We start from the raw sequence: 19,994 nt of genomic DNA, 5'->3' as shown, positions 1-19,994 counted from the left end.
TAAATGCCTAAAATCAGTAAGAACAAGAGAAATGAAAAATGTGTATAGCAAATTGATAGAACAGAAAATATGAGTGGCTGATAAACATAAAAAGATTCTCAACCTGATGCTCAAACTGAGAAGTGTGAATTAAGACCACAAGACATAAATTTTTATCCACCAAATTGGCAAAAATAAAGCCTAACAATATCAATTATTGTAAAAGATGCAGACCAACAGGAACAGGAATACACCTACACTTCAGGTAGGAGAATAAATTGGTACCGCCCTATGAAACAACGCGTCATTTCCTTGAAAGTTAAACATTCACATTCTCTACATACCACCAATTGCACTCCTTGAAATATAACCTGGAAAACTACTCCACATGCTGACTGAATACATGAAAAAGAATATTTAGGGCAGCCCTGTTCTTAAGAGGGGGCACAAAAAAGAGAGAAAATAACCCAAATGTTAATTCACAGAAAATAAATAGTATGACTTAATTTTGTGAAAAATATTTAAAGTGGTATACTAAGCACAATATATACACTTCATTAATAGGTTTAGTAAACATTACTCAGAGGACTTTTCACCTTGGTTCTCTTGGCCTTCATTTGAACTTTTGCTAATAGAGCACACATGGTCATCTCAGCTCTATTCCAGCTGATTCCGTCCAAGACCTCAATGGCCTTGTCATGGTTTTCACAAAATGAATAAATAAGGGCTTGCTGCATAGGACTCAACTCACTGAGACCTAAAAGGGAAGGAAAGTTTATCAATATCTTTGCCAAGTATCAATGATTTTGAATATAATTATTCTAAGGGAGTAATTCAATAATTTGTCTTTATAATATGAATTAACAAATCAATAAATTATAAAATTAACAAATCATAGTAAGATCTATTTACTACCAGTAACCAACAAGACATTCCAATTACAGACAAAAAATAGAAAAATTGTAAGCTTAATATTTCCCATAAAAATTCTCTCTCACAAAATTCACTGCTATGAATCATTTTACTAATTGGCAATGTACATATAAAACTAAAGTTTGAAAATCTAATTTGACTTTCAATTGGATCCTTCATGCTATTTATACATAACTATTGCAAAATAGCATAAAAATTTTAAAGAAGTATTTCTTAAAAGTTATAATTAATTATACTTACCTTTGTCCATTTCTGCTATTTGATAAATAGTAAACTTTGCAAGATCATAATATTTCATCATAAGAAGATATTGTCCTCTGGAAGAAATAATCGATTTTGATTCTAAGCAGCTAAAAATTAACTTTCTAAAATAAAGTTTCTTCTAATCAGTTACTTACAATTTTACAATATATTCATTCTTATTTACTTATGTATGCATAAAAAAGTGAAAATTATAGACATTTTATATAAACTAAATATATCAATTAGCATAGTGATGTGATGAGAAAACTTAGGAAATGTAACACTGAAAGAAAAATACACAAATCTCTTTTTGCAATTATCTGCATTTAAAATGTTATACTTTTTGCTGAGAAATTATTAAAAGATAAAGTTCAAGGCATATAAAAGGAAGGAGGTATCTACATAAATTGCTAAAATGTGGTTCAAGGACAAAGCAAGCCCTTATCAGTAAAGCATTGTCACATTCCATTTCCCAGGTCTATAAATCCTTAAAAGTTTATATTTTTGATAGTGATAACTCATAACTTGCAAAGGATATCTTTATAGAAAGTTCTACTGCATTTGAAATACTGCATGGAAGTAGGCAGTACCTGTAGAAATGGTATACAATTCAGTATGTCACTTCTTTTCACTGAATTAGCAGAGGTTTGTGTTTAGTACACATGCTTATGTTTGATTGTGGACATAATCAAAACAACTGTTCAAAATACGTTACCTTACTCTTATGAGATATGTGATAACCATATGACTAGTCGCTTAAAAAGGTCTCAAAGAACATAAACACTAAACAGGTATATTTTGATGCAAGGGTAGAGCAAAGGGAAAAATCTGGTTATCTTATGTAATAAACTATCTCAAAGTTTAACAAACTGGCTTGCTGGTGGGGAAATGGCAATTGCTGGGAGATTAAATGTAAAATGGGGAGCCTGAAAGGTTCAAGAGGGAACTGAAGATCCCCATTCAATTTCTCTGATGCTAAGTTATCCCAAGAAGAATTCAGTTTCTATGCTCATACCTTCTTATGTATAATTGGATTCCATCTGGCTGAAGGTGGATAGCACGAGACAATTCATTTACTGCCTTTTTCAATTTATGCAACTGTTGAGTGAGAAACAGAAATTTAGCTCCTAATAACATCGATTGCTTCCTTTCTGATATTTATCCTCTCCCACCCTTTCTACAGAAATTTTGCAGGGACATCTCCTAACATACATGTTTTTCTTAAGAATCTACAAAGCAAATGGGATACAGAGAAGTAAAAAGAAAAATTTATGATATATTCTTAGTTTTTAAAAATCATCTATCTTTAATTTTAAATAATAATTATACATATCTACATATACTATTTCACATAAATGTGATTATATAATACATTCTGGATTGTGTACGTGTTTGTGTTCTCTTTTATCATTTAGTTTCCAGTTTTTCTCCCTCAACCCTAACAACTTTTTCAGCAAACCTGATCCATCTTAATCAAGCAGCATGCAGGCTGGTCTCAGGCCTCTAATTCGAGCGCTTTGGGAGGCTGAGATAGGAGAATCGCTTGATGAGGCCAGGAGGTCAAGACCAGCCTGGTCAACATAGTGAGACTCCATCTAGACAAAAACAATAATAGGAATAAAGACTAAGAAATAAAGTAGCATGCAAAGGAGGGTAATATAAAAACTAAAACTCTATTCCACTTAAAAATAAGGGAGGAAAAACAGGCCTGCACAAAAATTAAGTAAATGAATGAATGAATATAACAAAATAAAAAAATGATGAAAAAGTAATCTGCTTACCATCAATATGTAACGAAAAGTAAACATTAATTATTCCCTTAATACTGGTCGCAGAAACTGAATTTGTACAACTTTGGGACAAAATCAACTATCATTGAAAATATTACCAAAAGAGCACTCTACAGACCAGAGCAAAATTAACCTGGGACAACCAACCAATCCTTTTATTGTTACGGCACAATGATGCAAAGAAGCAAATGTACAAAACTAATTTGTGCATGGAAGCAGGCAGTACCTGTAGAGATGGTATAAATGTTTGGAGGAAATGGTGGATGGACTCAAAAGAGGAAACAAAAAAGGAGGAAGTTTGAGATTAGTTTAAACAAATTGGAAAATTTCTGTGGAACTTCATGCCTGCTGCTTCCTAAGCTAACCCTATTCAGGATGGTGTAATTAATAAATCATATAGTCATATGTCCACATTGCTATACCTGTTCTACCAACCATACATGTCTATGCATTGAGGAAATCCTGACTTAAGACAAATGGAGGCTCATTCGCAGATCTCACAAGCTTCCCTGACATTAGACCACTACCAGGTAGCCTTAGATTAGATTTACCCTGGAGGCTGAACCCACATAATGGGAGTATATATTCTTGTACATACATACACAAGGGTTTATTTACAATTGTTTTATTTACATGGAATCGTATTGTACACACTTCACACTCTTTTGTGAGCCCTACTTTTCTTACTTAAAAATATCTCATGGAAAACCTTCCAAGTCAGCTAGCATAGTTCTATTCACTCTTGTCTCCATCTCTGTTACATTCTATGATGTGAATGCACCACAAATTATTCAATCATTACTGCACAGAGATTTTCGTCTCTCAGAACAGCCTTTGACTATATCCTTACACCTTGCTATCATGCTAGTGTTTCCATTTCTCTATGTGCTCAGAGGAAACTCCAACTTCCGCAGATGGTCTTACCTTCATCAACAGGGTTAAGCAAAAGAACCACACACTATGAGTATTGTCCATCCTTTCCCTGACAGAGTCAAGAACTAACATGACCTAGTGGCAACATTGAACCTGCCCTAGGTCCCTACCTCCATTGTCAGCAGAGTAAGGACTCTGAATGGGACTCTAGTCACACTGGGTCCTGAGATGTAGATAATGGAGGCAGAGCCTCCAGGCAGTCCTCTGTGGACATACAGTGTGAGCAAGGAATAAACCTTTGTTTTAATACAGTAATTTTGAAGGTTTGGTTTTTGGGTTTTTTGTTTTTTTGTTTTTTTACCTCAGTATAGCCTAGCTTATCCTGGCTGAAACCAGCATAGACAGGAGACAAAGGTAGAAAGGCAATTAGAAGCTAGCTCCTGTGGGGTCTTGCAGACCTTTGGCTTTTGTAGAATTTAGCTTTTATTCTAAACACAAGCGAAGCTATTGAAGGGCTTGAGCAAAGAAGTGAAATAATCTGACATGTTTTGGCAAGATCACTGTGGCTGCTATTTGAAAATCCATCCTGGTGAGAAACCAGTATTTGGACAGGGCAGTTAGAGGTGAAGTGGTATAAATGGGTGTCTACTTTGAAGGGTAGAGACAAGAGTTAACAGCGTTATCTCTGAAAATCAGATCTGGCTGGAATTGGAGAGGATTTTTCCTATTTATTGTGCTGTTTTAATTTGTCACGGCAGGGGCATATAACATTTATTTTTAATGTGAACAACTTATAAAACTTAAACAAAATTAAAAGTAAGTATGAATGGTCAGTATCCCATTCTATGGTTGGATCCCATTGTATGAACCTACTTACTCACCTGTACACACACACACACACACACACACACACACACACACACACACAACATTGGACCATAGACTCAAATTGTTAATAGCAGCTATCCCTAGAGAATAAAATTATAGATAATAGTTTTTAGTTTATTCCTATCGCATGCATATATTACCTGCAATAAGTATATAATGCTTTTGTAATTAAGAAAAAAAAAGGTATTATTTTCAAAAGTGAAAGACATAAAAATGCACACCTTGAAAGTAGAGGCTTTATAAATGAGTAATTAGAGTTAACTACCAGCTTAACACATTGTTTATAAATGCATTAGCCCCTACAATTAGCTAAAATATGTATATATATTAAAATTATGTTGAACAAATATCCAGAAAATTAAAGTTTTTTTAAAAAAATCAAGGTTCTCGAGCCTTAAATACCTTAAAATAGGTTTCCGCCCGACAAAGATAGCTTTGAATACATAAAGGATCAATTCTAATAGCCTCAGAAAATTGCCAAATAGCTTCCGTGTAGTTATCCAGGTGTAGCAGATGTATGAGGCCAATATTTACATAAGCCAAAGTAATAGTTCTAAAAAAAAATGAGAAAGTGAAATCTTGTTAAACATTTTTAATTATTCCAAATGTTCTCCAATTAGGAATAAACTGAATGAAACAGATGCATCAGTATTCATCAGAGTATTTTTTAATGTTTTACAAAGGAAAGTAAATTAGTTAGCTGCTCTCTATGAAAAACTATAAACACCTTTATGAAACCCTTAGTAAGGAATTAATGTTTTTAAGGTCTGCGCTAGGAACAGAATTCCTGAAGTCTCCTAGACTTTTAGCAAAACTTTACTCTTCTTTGATTTACCTTTCCGTTATCTTGAGTCACAAGCTTAGTTTTTCTCAACTAAAGAGTCTTTACCTCAGGCTATGTTCTATTGGCCACGAGTGACAGTGAGAAACAGTCATATTCAAGGGTTTGGTGGCTTGGGGTTAAAATCCTCTCCACGTACATATTAACACAGCTTTTCTGTATCAAATAAATGTTATTTATCTCTCTTAAAATCAACTGATTTTCAGTAGAGAAATAACCTTAGAAATTATCATGTTTGATGCCTCTATTTCAAAATGAAAACCACCCATCCAATAATCCAACCTCACAGAATCCCTGACCCCTTGCCTAGACACCAAAGTTCCTACTTCCTGTTTTCTGTCTCTTTGAAACTGACACTCTTTTCTTTTTCTTTCTGGCTCAAAAATGTCCAAAAGAAAACCACTGTGGTCATTATGGGAGCCATGCTCCATGAATTTCCTGTGTCAAGTTCAAAGTTTACCTTGGATAGATTAAGTAAACAGTCTGCTGGTTGGCAAGGAATTGGCATGATTAGTTACTCTTTCTGACACCTTCCCTTTTCATAAATCCTTCTTTGGAAAAAAAGGGGAATTTTTAATTAAATTCTGTGATTTACAGTTTGACTTTCTGACTAGTGCATTTAACTTTCAGTCTATATTTCTCCCTGAACATATGGTCTACATGGTATTAGTGTTTTTATTTTGCTTTACTAAACAAAATGAAGCCAGAAGTTCTAAATAGAAGGCTGCCTTCCATTGAGTTGTATCCTGTCCATAGCAATCATACACCAAGCAGAATGTTTTTTCATTATTTTAAAACTTAATGACAGTTTTCCATGAAGTTAATTTCAAAAAGCTCTAGCCTGGGCATCTCCAAAATCCTCAATAGTATTGATTCCTTATCCATAGATTTAACTCCTGTCAAACCCATTTAACTTCTAAAATTTGCAAAAACACCCAAGGCAAACAGATGTTGAGAACAGGTTTTATTTTTGAAGTAATCTTGTTTTTAGAAGTAGTATTCTAATTCTAGGATGACTTTATAAGTGTCTCATTTTTTCTAGGTTATCAATGATGAGGGGAAAGAAACTTTTTCTCCCATTTCAGGTTTTCGATTTTTTACAAAACTGAAATCAATAAATATGAAAAGGAAAACATACCTTTCTAGAGAAATGACAGTTTCAAAGTCACAAATTGCCAGCAGCCAAAGTTTTAGATGTGCATAGACTATTCCCCGATGTAGAAAACAACCAAGATTCTCATAGCCATCATTTATGAGTGCTTAAAAAGTTTAAAAAAATGTATTTCATTCAGGTTCTAAAATAACCATAGGTAAATTATACTTTAGTCTGTAAACTTCCTATTGCTTATTCTCATTTTTTAACATTATATAAAATAGAAACATATCTATGATGAGTGTACTTGTTTGGTAAGTTAAATAATAGTATTGTACATTAAAATGTATTTATTAGTAACAATGTGGCAATTGTGGTTCACAAACTCATTAGAGCTGAATTAAATCCTGATTGGAATCTAGCATAGTCCACTCACCGTATAGGTGAGGAGATTAAAGTCCAAAGGGGGTAAGTACATTGACCATGGTCATGATATACCAGTCAATGGCAAAGACTGGCCTAGAATCCAACTCCAGTCAGAAGGGTGCCATGACCCTTGATGGCCTGATTTTATCAGGAAGCCATCGTTACTGGCCAAGGAACAGGCTTGAGTACTAGTCCTGAAGGCAGAAAGCAGAGGTCAGGCTCACACACAAACCGGGATGGACAAGCAAAGAGGCTACACCAAGGCAAACAGAGCTTGGAGGTAAGGCGGACGGCTTGACTATGCACATCCCAAATGACAGCTATCCGAGATGCGAGATGCACATCCCTAATAATGGAAGGGAGAAAAAGAACCTCCTCTCAGTAATCCAGGTGTGTGACTCTCATCAGTAACCTGTCTAGAGGTCATCTCATGTCTCTCGCCTACTGATTGCCCCTTCACTTTCAAAACATGTTAGTGAATTAGATGGGGTTTCCACAAGTTTTGACAGATATCTTTAAAGCTTCTCATGACATTCTGCCTTAAGGTGCAAAGTTTTGTCAAAATATGCATAATGTTTGCAGTCTAGGACAAAAATATTCACGGTACTGGATTTAGGGAACTATAGCCAGTGTCAGCAATGATCATACACATTAAGGAAGTACAGTCATGCACCACTTAACAGTAGGGATATGTTCTGAGAAATGCATTATTAGGGGATTTCTTTATTGTGCAAAGATCATAGAGTGTACTTTCACAAACCTAGATGGTATATATTTTTATATATATACATATATACAGAATATAGAATATATTATAGAATATACATAGAGTATATACAATATATATATATATATATATAAGAGGAAACCAAATGTCCCAACACCATTAATGAATATCAATCGTTTCCCCTACTTGATCCACAATGCGAATGTCAAGTGCCATATATCAGGTTTAACCATAGTATATACAGTCCGTTTTTGACCGAAACATCATTATGTGGCGCATGACTGTTATCACTTGAAGAAAATCTAACTGCTCAGTTCACAGTATGATTGGCTAGCAATTAAAAAATCAGCTGCAGTTTGGGTGGCTGCTCTTAACAAACAATAAAAAAACTCTTCTTAAGGAAAAAGGAAAAAAAATATTATTTAACCTCTCTGTGCTATGGCTTTCTCATCAGTAAAATGTGAATGAAAATAGTACCGAGCTCCTAGCATTACTCTGAATATTGAGACACTTCTTATTTGGCACTTTAAACAGCACTTTGCAAGTAGCAAAATGCCCAATAAATGTTAGATATCATTATTATTATTATTAGCTTAGCAAAATATCTTGAGAGTCCTTTTTTGTTGCAGGTGATAAAACTCCTTGGGCTGTCTGGTAGGAAAGGATGGAGGCTGAAATCAAGTTTGTCTGCTCTGGATAATTAAATAATAGGAATTTTGTTCAATTATTGTGATAGCCTAGAAGTGGGGAGAGGAGGGCATGAGAAGCCCAAAACTTGTATAAGAGGGAAATATGAGAAAGAGGCCTTTAGAGGAAGATCAGAGAGAAAGGGATGTGGCCAGTGGCAGATGGATAGGGCTGATAGAGCCAGATAAACTTCTAGAAATGGGGGTGGTTTGATCTTCAAATTTAAGTTATCTGTGCTAAATTTATCCTCTGAACCCTAAAGCATTCAGTAACAGATTAGTAGACATAACAGGTTTGTGTTGATGTTACACTGGGGAATGAAGGACAGACCTGGGAAAAAGCAAAGCCGAGAGAACAGTAGCCACAGAAGTGAGGGTGGGCAAAGATGGGAAATCCAGCCAAAAGCTGAAATTGGACTCAAAGATGACGAAAGAATTAGACAGAAATCCTCAGTCCCCTTTCCCAAGAATCACTGGAAATAGAGGGGAGGACACTAGACTCCTGTCAACACACAGAATGAAATTTGAGTTATTTTATTTTAATATTAATTAGAAGGGTGACCTCAGAAGGCAAATGGACTTAAGACAATCAAGTAACTATCACCTTAGCTCTTCTTCCCTGTGGAAATCTAGTTGTCTCTTCATCTCTAGACACTGTCTAATCTAGGATGATGGGATTCCAGAACTTTGCACCCAGGTGAACACAGGCATATCTGGAGTGTTAGACTCAGGCTGGATTTCATCAGTCAGGATGGACTCATTCATTCTGTTGGAGGCTGTTTACTGAGCACTGACTCTATGCTCACAATTGTGCTGGGCACATGCATAAACCAGGAGTGTGCTGATTGAGAGTAACACAGAAATGGCCATTTTTAGCTGTTGGTGTCCTTAGCTACTAAGGATTCTCAAAACCTATTTTTAGTTTAGGGGTTAAAAACTCTGAATTTGACAAATCCCTTGGGCTGAGCCTATGGAGCAGGACACAGCCCACCAGGACAGTTTACTGCCATTTTAGCAAGCTGACTAGGAAACAGGACTGGGTTTGCAGAAAAATCTTCAGAACCCAGTATATTATAGAAAGAGATTCTTTGCTGTCACATTCTCCCCTTGCCACAGTTAACACACACACACACACACACACACACACACACACAGACACACACACACATAAAGGGCATATTAGAAACACTTATAGCTAAACCATTATAGCTATATATTCATATATTGTATACCTATATAAGAATATTAAAATGCGTAAGCTCATGTAATATATACTTATAATGTATATTAGTATATAGTAGTATACATATTACATTAGTGAACCCACATTACCATTCACCACTATGAAACTGAGCTGTTGAATCTCAGATTGGGTTGCTATATACATGTAATTGAAGGCAAAGTACCTGAAACACTATAATCCTGTAGCGCTCTAAAAGGGTTACTCTTTCTGAATAAGCAACCTCGATAATACAACGCTAACCAGTTATTAGGATCTAAGTGAATTGCAGCAGAAAAATCTTGAGTTGCTTCTTTATAAAATTTCCATTTAACATATGCAATCCCTCGGTATGTCCTAGGAAAAAAAAGTTTGTTTTAACAAGTACTGTAAAGTATACATTTTCTCTTTTTGGTAAACCTGTACAACTAATTTTATATTTGAATAACAATTTGTAAATGTTTCTCCTTGCTTCACAAGAGAGTTTAGTCATGATGTTAACAGCAAAAATGATACAAACTTTTTATAAATTGAAGTACACTTTATTGTATACATAATTATATGCTTATCAGGTACATTCTACATATTAATTATATGCTTACTAATTTTATTTCTTACATTTATCAAGGACGTATGTCAATAAAATAAGTATGACATTTATTATTTATTGATTCCCAAAAATGTATTAAGCACTAATTTATACAAAATTGCTTCCTAGAAAAGCAAAATAATCCATTTTGCAGAACATGGGCCCTAGTGAGTAGAAGTTTTAGGAGGTTTTTCTCTGGAGCTTGAAGATACATCCAAATACGTGAAAGTCTGCTCTTTCACGGATGAAAGCTATTGCATTAGTTGTGTAAACTGGATTCCTTTATCATTAACTTCTGACTCCAATTTTGAAATTATCACTGACTTAGATCAATGCCAAAAAACTCATCTTCAATTAGTTAATAATGTGAAGCATATCCATTTTTAGAAATAAAATAAAGATGACAAGGAAAAACAGAAGAAAGAAGCTACTAGGTTGCCTACTTAGAAGAAATAAAAATAGTGGGAGGTTCCAAGATGGTCAAATAGGAACAGCTCCAGTCTACAGCTCCCCGCGTGAGCGATGCAGAAGACGGGTGATTCCTGCATTTCCAACTGAGGTACCGGGTTCATCTCACTGGGGCTTGTCGGACAGTTGGTGCAGGACAGTGGGTGCAGCCCACGGACAGTGAGCCAAAGCAGGGCCAGGCACCGCCTCACCCGGGAAGTGCAAGGGGTCCGGGAATTCCCTTTCCTAGCCAAGGGAAGCCATGACAGATGGCACCTGGAAAATTGACTCACTCCAACCCTAATACTGCGCTTTTCCAACAGTCTTAGCAAATGGCATACCAGTAGATTATATCCCGCACCTGGCTTGGAGGGTCCCACGCCCACGGAGCCTTGCTCACTGCTAGCACAGCAGTCTGAGATCAAACTGCAAGGCAGCAACGAGGCTGGGTGAGGGGCGGCTGCCATTGCTGACACTTAAGTAGGTAAACAAAGCGGCTGGGAAACTCGAACTGGGTGGAGCCCACCACAGCTCAAGGAGGCCTGCCTGCCTCTGTAGACTCCACCTCTGTGGGCCGGGCATAGCTGAACAAAAGGCAGCAGAAACTTCTGCAGACTTAAACGTCCCTGTCTGACAGCTTTGAAGAGAGTAGTGGTTCTCCCAGCATGGAGTTTGAGATCTGAGAATGGACAGACTGCCACCTCAAGTGACTCCCTGACCCCCGAGTAGCCTAACTGGGAGGCACTTCCCACTAGGGGCCAACAGACGCCTCATACAGCCGGGTGCCCCTCTGAGACAAAGCTTCCAGAGGAACAATCAGGCAGCAACATTTGCCATTCTGCAACATGTGTGGTTCTGCAGCCTCCACTGGTGATACCCAGGCAAACAGCATCTGGAGTGGACCTCCAGCAAACTCCAACAGACCTGCAGCTGAGGGTCCTGACTGTTAGAAGGAAAACTAACAAACAGAAAGGACATCCACACCAAAACCTCATCTGTATGTCACCATCACCAAAGACCAAAGATAGATAAAACCAAAAATATGGGGATAAACCAGAGCAGAAAAGCTGAACATTCTAAAAATTAGAGCACCTCTTCTCCTCCAAAGGAACGCAGCTCCTCGCCAGCAACGGAACAAAGCTGGATGAGGAATGACTTCGACGAGTTGAGAGAAAAAGGCTTCAGACGATCGGTAAAAACAAACTTCTCTGAGCTAAAGGAGGATATTCAAACCCAAAGCAAAGCAGCTAAAAACCTTGAGAAAAGATTACACGAATGGCTAACTAGAATAAACAGCATAGAGAAGACCTTAAATGACCTGATGGAGTTCAAAACAATGGCACAAGAACTACGTGATGCATGCACAAGCTTCAGTAGCCAATTCAATCAACTGGAAGAAAGGGTATCAGTGATTGAAGATCAAATTAATGAAATGAAGTGAAAAGTTTAGAGAAAAAAGAGTAAAAAGAAATAAACAAAGCCTCCAAGAAATATGGGACTATGTGAAAAGACCAAATCTATGTCTGATTGGTGTACCTGAAAGTGATGGGGAGAATGAAACCAAGTTGGAAAACACTCTTCAGGATATTATCCAGGAGAACTTCCCCAACCTAGCAAGGCAGGCTACCATTCAAATTCAGGAAACACAGAGAATGTCACAAAGATACCCCTTGAGAAGAGCAACTCCAAGACACATAATTGTCAGATTCACCAAAGTTGAAATGAAGGAAAAAATCTTAAGTGCAGCCAAAGAGAAAGTTCAGGTTACCCACAAAGGGAAGCCCATCAGATTAACAGCTGATCTCTCAGCAGAAACTCTACAAGCCAGAAGAGAGTGGGGGCCAATATTCAACATTCTTAAAGAAAAGAATTTTCAACCCAGAATTTCATATCCAGCCAAACAAAGCTTCAAAGGTGAAGGAGAAATAAAATCCTTTACAGACAAGCAAATGCTGAGAGATTTTGTCACCACCAGGCCTGCCTTACAGGAGCTCCTGAAGGAAGCACTAAACATGGATATGAACAACCAGTACCAGCCACTGCAAAAACATGACAAATTGTAAAGACCATCGATGCTAGGAAAAAACTGCATCAACTAACAAGCAAAATAACCAGCTAACATCATAATGACAGGATCACATTCACATATAACAATATTAACCTTAAATGTAAATGGGCTAAATGCTCCAATTAAAAGACACAGACTGGCAAATTGGATAAGGAGTCAGGAGTCATCAGTGTGCTGTGTTCAGGAGACCCATCTCAACGTGCAGAGACACACATAGGCTCAAAATAAAGGGATGGAGGAAGATCTACCAAGCAAATGGAAAACAAAAAAAAGCAGGGGTTGTAATCCTGGTCTCTGATAAAACAGACTTTAAACCAACAAAGATCAAAAGACACAAGGAGGCCATTACATAATGGTAAACGGATCAATTCAACAAAAAGAGCTAACTATCCTAAATATATATGTACCCAATACAGGAGCACCCAGATTCATAAAGCAAGTCCTTAGAGACCTACAAAGAGACTTAGACTCCCACACAATAATAATGGGAGACTTTAACACCCCACTGTCAACATTAGACAGGTCCACAAGACAGAAAGTTAACAAGAATTGAACTCAGCTCTGCACCAAGCAGACCTAATAGACATCTACAGAACTCTCCACCCCAAATCAACAGAATATACATTCTTCTCAGCACCACATCGGACTTATTCCAAAATTGACCACACAGTTCGAAGTAAAGCATTCCTCAGCAAATGTAAAAGAACAGAAATTATAACAAACTGTCTCTCAGACCACAGTGCAATCAAACTAGAACTCAGGATTAAGAAACTCACTCAAAACTGCTCAACTACATGGAAGCTGAACAACCTGCTCCTGAATGACTACTGGGTAAATAACAAAATGAAGGCAGAAATAAAGATGTTCTTTGAAACCAGTGAGAACAAAGACACAAAATCCCAGAATCTCTGGGACACATTTCAAGCAGTGTGTAGAGGGAAATTTATAGCACTAAATGCCCATAAGAGAAAGCAGGAAAGATCTAAAATGGATATCCTAACATCACAAATAAAAGAACTAGAAAAGCAAGAGCAAACACATTCAAAAGCTAGCAGAAGGCAAGAAATAACTAAGATCAGAGCAGAACTCAGGGAGATAGAGACACAAAAAATCCTTCAAAAAATCAATGAATCCAGGAGCTATTTTTCTGAAAACATCAACAAAATTGATAGACCACTAGCAAGACTAATAAAGAAAAAAAGGAAGAAGAATCAAATAGATGCAATAAAAAATAATAAAGGGGATATCACCACCAATCCCACAGAGATACACACTACCATCAGAGAATACTATAAACATCTCTATGCAAATAAACTAGAAAATCTAGAAGAATTGGATAAATTCCTGGACACATACACCCTCCCAAGACTAAACCAGGAAGAAATTGAATCCCTGAATAGACCAATAACAGGCTCTGAAATTGAGGCAATAATTAAGAACCTACCAAACCAAAAAGAGTCTAGGACCAGACAGATTCACAGCCGAATTCTACCAGAGGTACAAAAAGGAGCTGGTACCCTTCCTTCTGAAACTATTCCAATCAATAGAAAAAGAGGGAATTCTCCCTAACTCATTTTATGAGGCCAGCATCATCCTCATACCAAAGCCTGGCAGAGACACAACAAAAAAAAGAGAATTTTAGACCAATATCCCTGATGAACATCGATGCAAAAGTCCTCAATAAAATACTGGCAAACCGAATCCAGCAGCACATCAAAAAGCTTATCCACCATGTTCAAGTGGGCTTCATCCCTGGGATGCAAGGCTGATTCAACATACACGAATCAATAAATGTAATCCAGCATATAAACAGAACCAAAGACAAAAACCACATGATTATCTCAATAGATGCAGAAAAGGCCTTTGACAAAATTCAACAGCCCTTCATGCTAAAAACGCTAAATAAATTAGATATTGATGGGACGTATCTCAAAATAATAAGAGCCATTTATGACAAACCCACAGCCAATATCATACTGAATGGGCAAAAACTGGAAACATTCCCTTTGAAAACTGGCACAAGACAGGGATGCCCTCTCTCATCACTCCTATTCAACATAGTGTTGGAAGTTCTGGCCAGGGCAATTAGGCAGGAGAAAGAAATAAAGGGTATTCAATTAGGAAAAGAGGAAGTCAAATTGTCCCTGTTTGCAGATGACATGATTGTATATTCAGAAAACCCCATCGTCTCAGCCCAAAATCTCCTTAAGCTGATAAGCAACTTCAGCAAAGTCTCAGGATACAAAATCAATGTGCAAAAATCACATGCATTCCTATACACCAATAACAGATAAACAGAGAGCCAAATCATGAGTGAACTCCCATTCACAATTGCTTCAAAGAGAATAAAATACCTAGGAATCCAACTTACAAGGGATGTGAAGGACCTCTTCAAGGAGAATTACAAACCACTGTTCAATGAAATAAAAGAAGATACAAACAAATGGAAGAACATTCCATGCTCATGGATAGGAAGAATCAATATCGTGAAAATGGTCATACTGCCAAAGGTAATTTATAGATTCAATGCCATCCCCATCAAGCTACCAATGACTTTCTTCAAAGAACTAAAAAAAACTACTTTAAAGTTCATATGGAACCAAAAGAGAGCCCGCATTGCCAAGACAATCCTAAGCCAAAAGAACAAAGCTGGAGGCATCACGCTACCTGACTTCAAACTATACTACAAGGCTACAGTAACCAAAACAGCATGGTACTGGTACCAAAACAGAGATATAGACCAATGAAACAGAACAGAGCCCTCAGAAATAATACCACACTCCTACAACCATCTGATCTTTGACAAACCTGTCAAAAACAAGCAATGGGGAAAGGATTCCCCACTTAATAAATGGTGCTGGGAAAACTGGCTAGCCATATGTAGAAAGCTGAAACTGGATCCCTTCCTTACACCTTATACAAAAATTAACTCAAGATGGATTAAAGACTTAAACATCAGACCTAAAAGCATAAAAATCCTAGAAGAAAACCTAGGCATTACCATTCAGGACATAGGCATGGGCAAGGATTTCACGTCTAAAACACCAAAAGTAACGGCAACAAAAGCCAAAATTGACAAATGGGATCTGATTAAACTAAAGAGCTTCTGCACCGCAAAAGAAACTACCATCAGAGTGAACAGGCAACCTACAGAATGGGAGAAAATTTTTGCAATCTACCCATCTGACAAACGGCTAATATCCAGAATCTACAAAGAATGTAAACAAATTTACAAGGAAAAATCAAACAACCCCATCAAAAAATGGGCAAAGGATATGAACACTTTTCAAAAAAAAGACATTTATGCAGCCAACAGACATATGAAAAAATGCTCATCATCACTGGTCATTAGAGAAATGCAAATCAAAATCATAATGAGATACCATCTTACTCCAGTTAGAATGACAATCATTAAAAAGTCAGGAAACAACAGATGCTGGGGAGGTTGTGGAAAAATAGGAACACTTTTACACTGTTGGTGGGAGTGTAAATTAGTTCAACCATTGTGGAAGACAGTGTGGCAATTCCTCAAGGATCTAGAACTAGAAATACCATTTGCTCCAGCAATCCCATTACTGGGCATATACACAAAGGATTATAAATCATTTTATGATAAAGACACATGCACACGTATGTTTATGGTGGCATTATTCAAAATAGCAAAGACTTGGAACTGACTCAAATGTCTACCAATGATAGAATGGATTAAGAAAATGTGGCACATATACACCATGGAATACTATGCAGCCATACAAAAGGATGAGTTCACATCCTTTGCAGGGACATGGATGAAGCTGGAAATCATCGTTCTTAGCAAACTATCACAAGATCAGAAAACCAAACACTACATATTCTCACTCATAACTGGGAGATGAACAACGAGAACACATAGACACAGGGAGGGGATCACCACACACCGGGGTCCATGGTGGGTGGGAGGCTAGGGATAGGATAACATTAGGATAAATATCTAATGTAGGTGATGGGTTGACGGGTGCAGCAAACCACCATGGCACATGTATACCTAGGTAACAAAGCTGCACATTCTGCAGATGTAACCCAGAACTTAAAGTATAATTTAAAAAAAGAAAATGTGGTACATATATACCATGGAATACTACACAGCCATAAAAGAAAATGAGAACATGTCTTTTGCAGGGACGTGGATGGAGTTAGAAGCCATTATCCTCAGCAAACTAACACAGGAACAGAAAACCGAACACTGCATGTTCTCACTTATAAATGGGAGCTGAATGATGACAACACATGAATGCATGAAAGGGAACAACACACACTGGGGCCTGTCAGAAGAGGGGTGAGGGGAGGGATAGCATCAGGAAGAATCGCTAATGGATACTGGGCTTAACACCTAGGTGATGGGATGATCTGTGTGTCAAACCACTAAGGCACACATTTACCTATGTAACAAAAATGTGCCTATGTGAACATCTGGCACATGTACCCCTGAACTTAAAAGTTGAGGAAAAAAATGTTTCACTAATTTTCTAATAAATAGAAGAGCTTTGTATTTATTTTTAATTAGTATTCACTGCTAAAAAATATTACTAATTAATTTTGAGCATATATATGTTTCTGAACTTAAAATTTTACAGAATAAACCTTTTGTAATATTCTGTGTAGCATGCCATTAATTAATTCATTCATTCATTCAAACAGACTCGCTTTTGCATTTGTTTCAACTTCGTCAGTAATTCAGACCTTCATCAGCTCACACCTGGGCTCTTATTTTACTCTATTCCTAGAGCTGGAGTGATAAGATTTGACTGTAATATAATAAAGACCTACTTTCTCAAAAACTTTCTTTCCATGGCCCATATTGGTAATGGGATAAGGCCAATTCTTTAAAAATGGCATATGAGGCCCCCTGAGACACCACCACCTAATAATACCTTCAATTAACCTTTTTGTTCTCCTCCAACTAATTTGATCCCTTCCTGCAAGTAATGTCCCTTCAATTGAAGAAGTAGATAACCAGAATAGACCAATAACAAGGGAATAATTTATAAAGAGTTTCAAAAAATTTTGCCCTCTCAGCAAATGGCTGTAAGCTGGGATAATTTTAGAGGCAAGTTATTCCAAACTTTCAAAGAACAAAAAATATCTAATAATAAAGGACATGTTTCTAAGAAAAGATGGAACACTTAATCAATTTTTTAAAAAGTAGTCAAATGCTGAAATATAGTAGTCACTATAGAGACCAATTTTACCATGAATATAGATTTAAAATTTTAAAGACAAAGAAAATGCAGTACTATTTTTAAATGATCCACCTAAAAGTATATAATGGCCAAGGGGCACTTATCCTTCAAAATAAGGAAGCCAAAAAAAAGACTTCTAAGCAGGCCAACTAGTCACAGACAGGAGGAACACCTGCCACTGAGGGACACGGACATCAGAAAGACTGGCACTCGCAGCAGATCTTCATAGAGAATGCATTGAGAATGAACAGAAAGAGGACAAAGATGAAGCATTGAATGGGGAGGAACTTGGGAACCCTGCATGGGGCTACCATGAACTGGGACCCATTTCTGGCTCCCAGTGACTCCTGGGGAAAGGATGAGTTGAGCAGGAAAGCAGCAACCTGCTCTCACCACAGACTTCTGGAATCCTGGCAGCAGGAGACCTCATGACCCCCATGGACACTTAAGCTGGCAGAGAGCTTCTTAGAAAGGTGGTGGGGCAAAATTCCAGCTTGTGCAAAGCCCAGAGGGTTTGGAGCAGGAAAGTCTGCAATGAAGCACAGTCAGGGATACCCATACCCCAAGGTCTGCCATGCTCCCCTTGGAGACTTTAGCCCTAGGGGAGTTGTTGGGCCTCAATAAAGCAGGGCAACCTTGCCCTGGAGATGATGCCAGTCCAACTTGAGTGCCCTCCCATGTCTGCTGGCCTCTCCCAGGACCCCAGGGTGGCCACACCTGCTCATAGTGCAGCCTCAGATGCCCAACCAGGGTGCCTCCCAGGGGTCCACGTCATACCTCTTGCACTGGCAGACCACCCCTGACTATTGGAGGGGTCCAGCAGAGCAGTTCCAGATGACAGGCACCGGTCCACCTGCAACCTCCCTCCACCAGGGCCTCCCCAACTCTGCTTTGCTGGCCCACAGTCATCAATGGCCACTCCCTCATCACTTTGTAGGTGCACACACATGTGGGCAGATTTCACCATCCCTTCCTCAATGATGCGCAATTGCATGTGCACCCCACCATGCCACTAGCTGCTGGCATGAGCATACTCTGCCACCCTCACTGCTGGGCCACCATTGTTGGTGCAGACACACACATGGAGATCAGCAGCACCACCCCTAGCCTTGCACTGCCATTGCTGCCAGTGCAAATGCACACACAGAGACCACCAGCCCTACACCTGCCACTGCCACCATAAGAACACGCACATGAAGGCCATGAGCCCAACATCCACCAGGACCTGAACCCCTACCCAACCCTGCCACAAACACATGAATGGACACCAGTGTCCCTGTCACCCCTAACGCTGCCACTGCAGTCACTGTGAACACCCACACAGAGGCTGACATCCCTATGCCCACCAGCACACCACCCCAGCTGATAAGCATGCACCCCACTGTACCGCCACTGCTGCTGGCATGTGCAAAGGGAGCACAGATCCTGCTGCCACCACCCAATGAAGCACATTGGCTGGCACCACCCATCAAAGTGTTGTAGCCAGTGGTCTGGGAACACCTTGGCCCCTCCAGCACAGCAGGTTCCCAACTTAAGGGGCCAGAGAACAAAGACAGAAACCTAATACCACTCCCCCAGAGTTAGAACATGCAGCCCAGGAGTGCTGAGCTAAGACTTAGGCCCCTGTAATCTTCCAGAAACAAAACCAGTCAACTGCACCCACCTTATACCACAATCAAACCCCCAAAAACTTCAAAGAAGATAAAAGCATCAAAAAAAAAAAAAAAAAAACCTACACGAAGGAGACAAATTTCAAAGACTGAAGGAACTTCAGCCCAAAAAGATGAGAAAGAACCAGCACAAGGACTCTGGCAACTCAAAACCCCAGTGTCTTATTACCTCCAAATGACCGCATTCACTCCGCAGCAATGGCTCTTAACCAGGCTGAAATGGCTGAAATCACAGAAACAGAATTCAGAAAATGGATAGGAACAAAGATCATTGAGATTCAGGTGAAATTTGAAACCCAAACC

General features: G+C 38.4%; 1 protein-coding gene across 16 annotated transcripts in view, besides 2 other annotated features; it reads right to left on the bottom strand.

Moving 5' to 3' along the window:
- The window catches only part of TTC6 (tetratricopeptide repeat domain 6), a 247,089-nt gene that overhangs the window by 45,195 nt on the left and 181,900 nt on the right, over nucleotides 1-19,994 (bottom strand). For 12 of the 16 annotated variants that reach the window (XR_007064009.1, NM_001310135.5, XM_017021254.2 and 9 more), the window contains 6 exons: nucleotides 9,886-10,055; nucleotides 6,686-6,806; nucleotides 5,109-5,259; nucleotides 2,171-2,253; nucleotides 1,153-1,229; nucleotides 576-736 (listed from right to left, as the gene is read on the bottom strand). Coding sequence is in view for 14 of the 16 variants with exons in the window: in NM_001310135.5 (NP_001297064.2) it covers nucleotides 576-736; nucleotides 1,153-1,229; nucleotides 2,171-2,253; nucleotides 5,109-5,259; nucleotides 6,686-6,806; nucleotides 9,886-10,055 (763 nt within the window). In the remaining 2 variants the exon portion in view is untranslated. Of the gene's footprint in view, nucleotides 1-575; nucleotides 737-1,152; nucleotides 1,230-2,170; nucleotides 2,254-5,108; nucleotides 5,260-6,685; nucleotides 6,843-9,083; nucleotides 9,321-9,885; nucleotides 10,056-19,994 lie in introns of those variants that run through there. The other 4 variants (NM_001368142.2, XR_001750287.2, XM_011537432.3 and 1 more) reach the window with 4 other exon arrangements.
- Nucleotides 10,540-11,039: an enhancer, noted in NCBI's record as "H3K4me1 hESC enhancer chr14:38255689-38256188 (GRCh37/hg19 assembly coordinates)". NCBI's record gives its function as "activates a minimal SCP1, AML or CMV promoter by ChIP-STARR-seq in primed H9 embryonic stem cells {active_cell/tissue: H9 hESC(primed)}" and the evidence as "EXISTENCE:reporter gene assay evidence [ECO:0000049][PMID:30033119]".
- Nucleotides 11,040-11,541: an enhancer, noted in NCBI's record as "H3K4me1 hESC enhancer chr14:38255187-38255688 (GRCh37/hg19 assembly coordinates)". NCBI's record gives its function as "activates a minimal SCP1, AML or CMV promoter by ChIP-STARR-seq in naive H9 embryonic stem cells {active_cell/tissue: H9 hESC(naive)}" and the evidence as "EXISTENCE:reporter gene assay evidence [ECO:0000049][PMID:30033119]".

Source organism: Homo sapiens, chromosome 14 (genome assembly GCF_000001405.40).
Source record: "Homo sapiens chromosome 14, GRCh38.p14 Primary Assembly".
NCBI classification, from domain to species: Eukaryota; Metazoa; Chordata; class Mammalia; order Primates; family Hominidae; genus Homo; species Homo sapiens.
The sequence above is the reverse complement of the archived record's forward strand: the minus strand, read 5'-3'. Positions and strand labels throughout refer to the sequence as shown.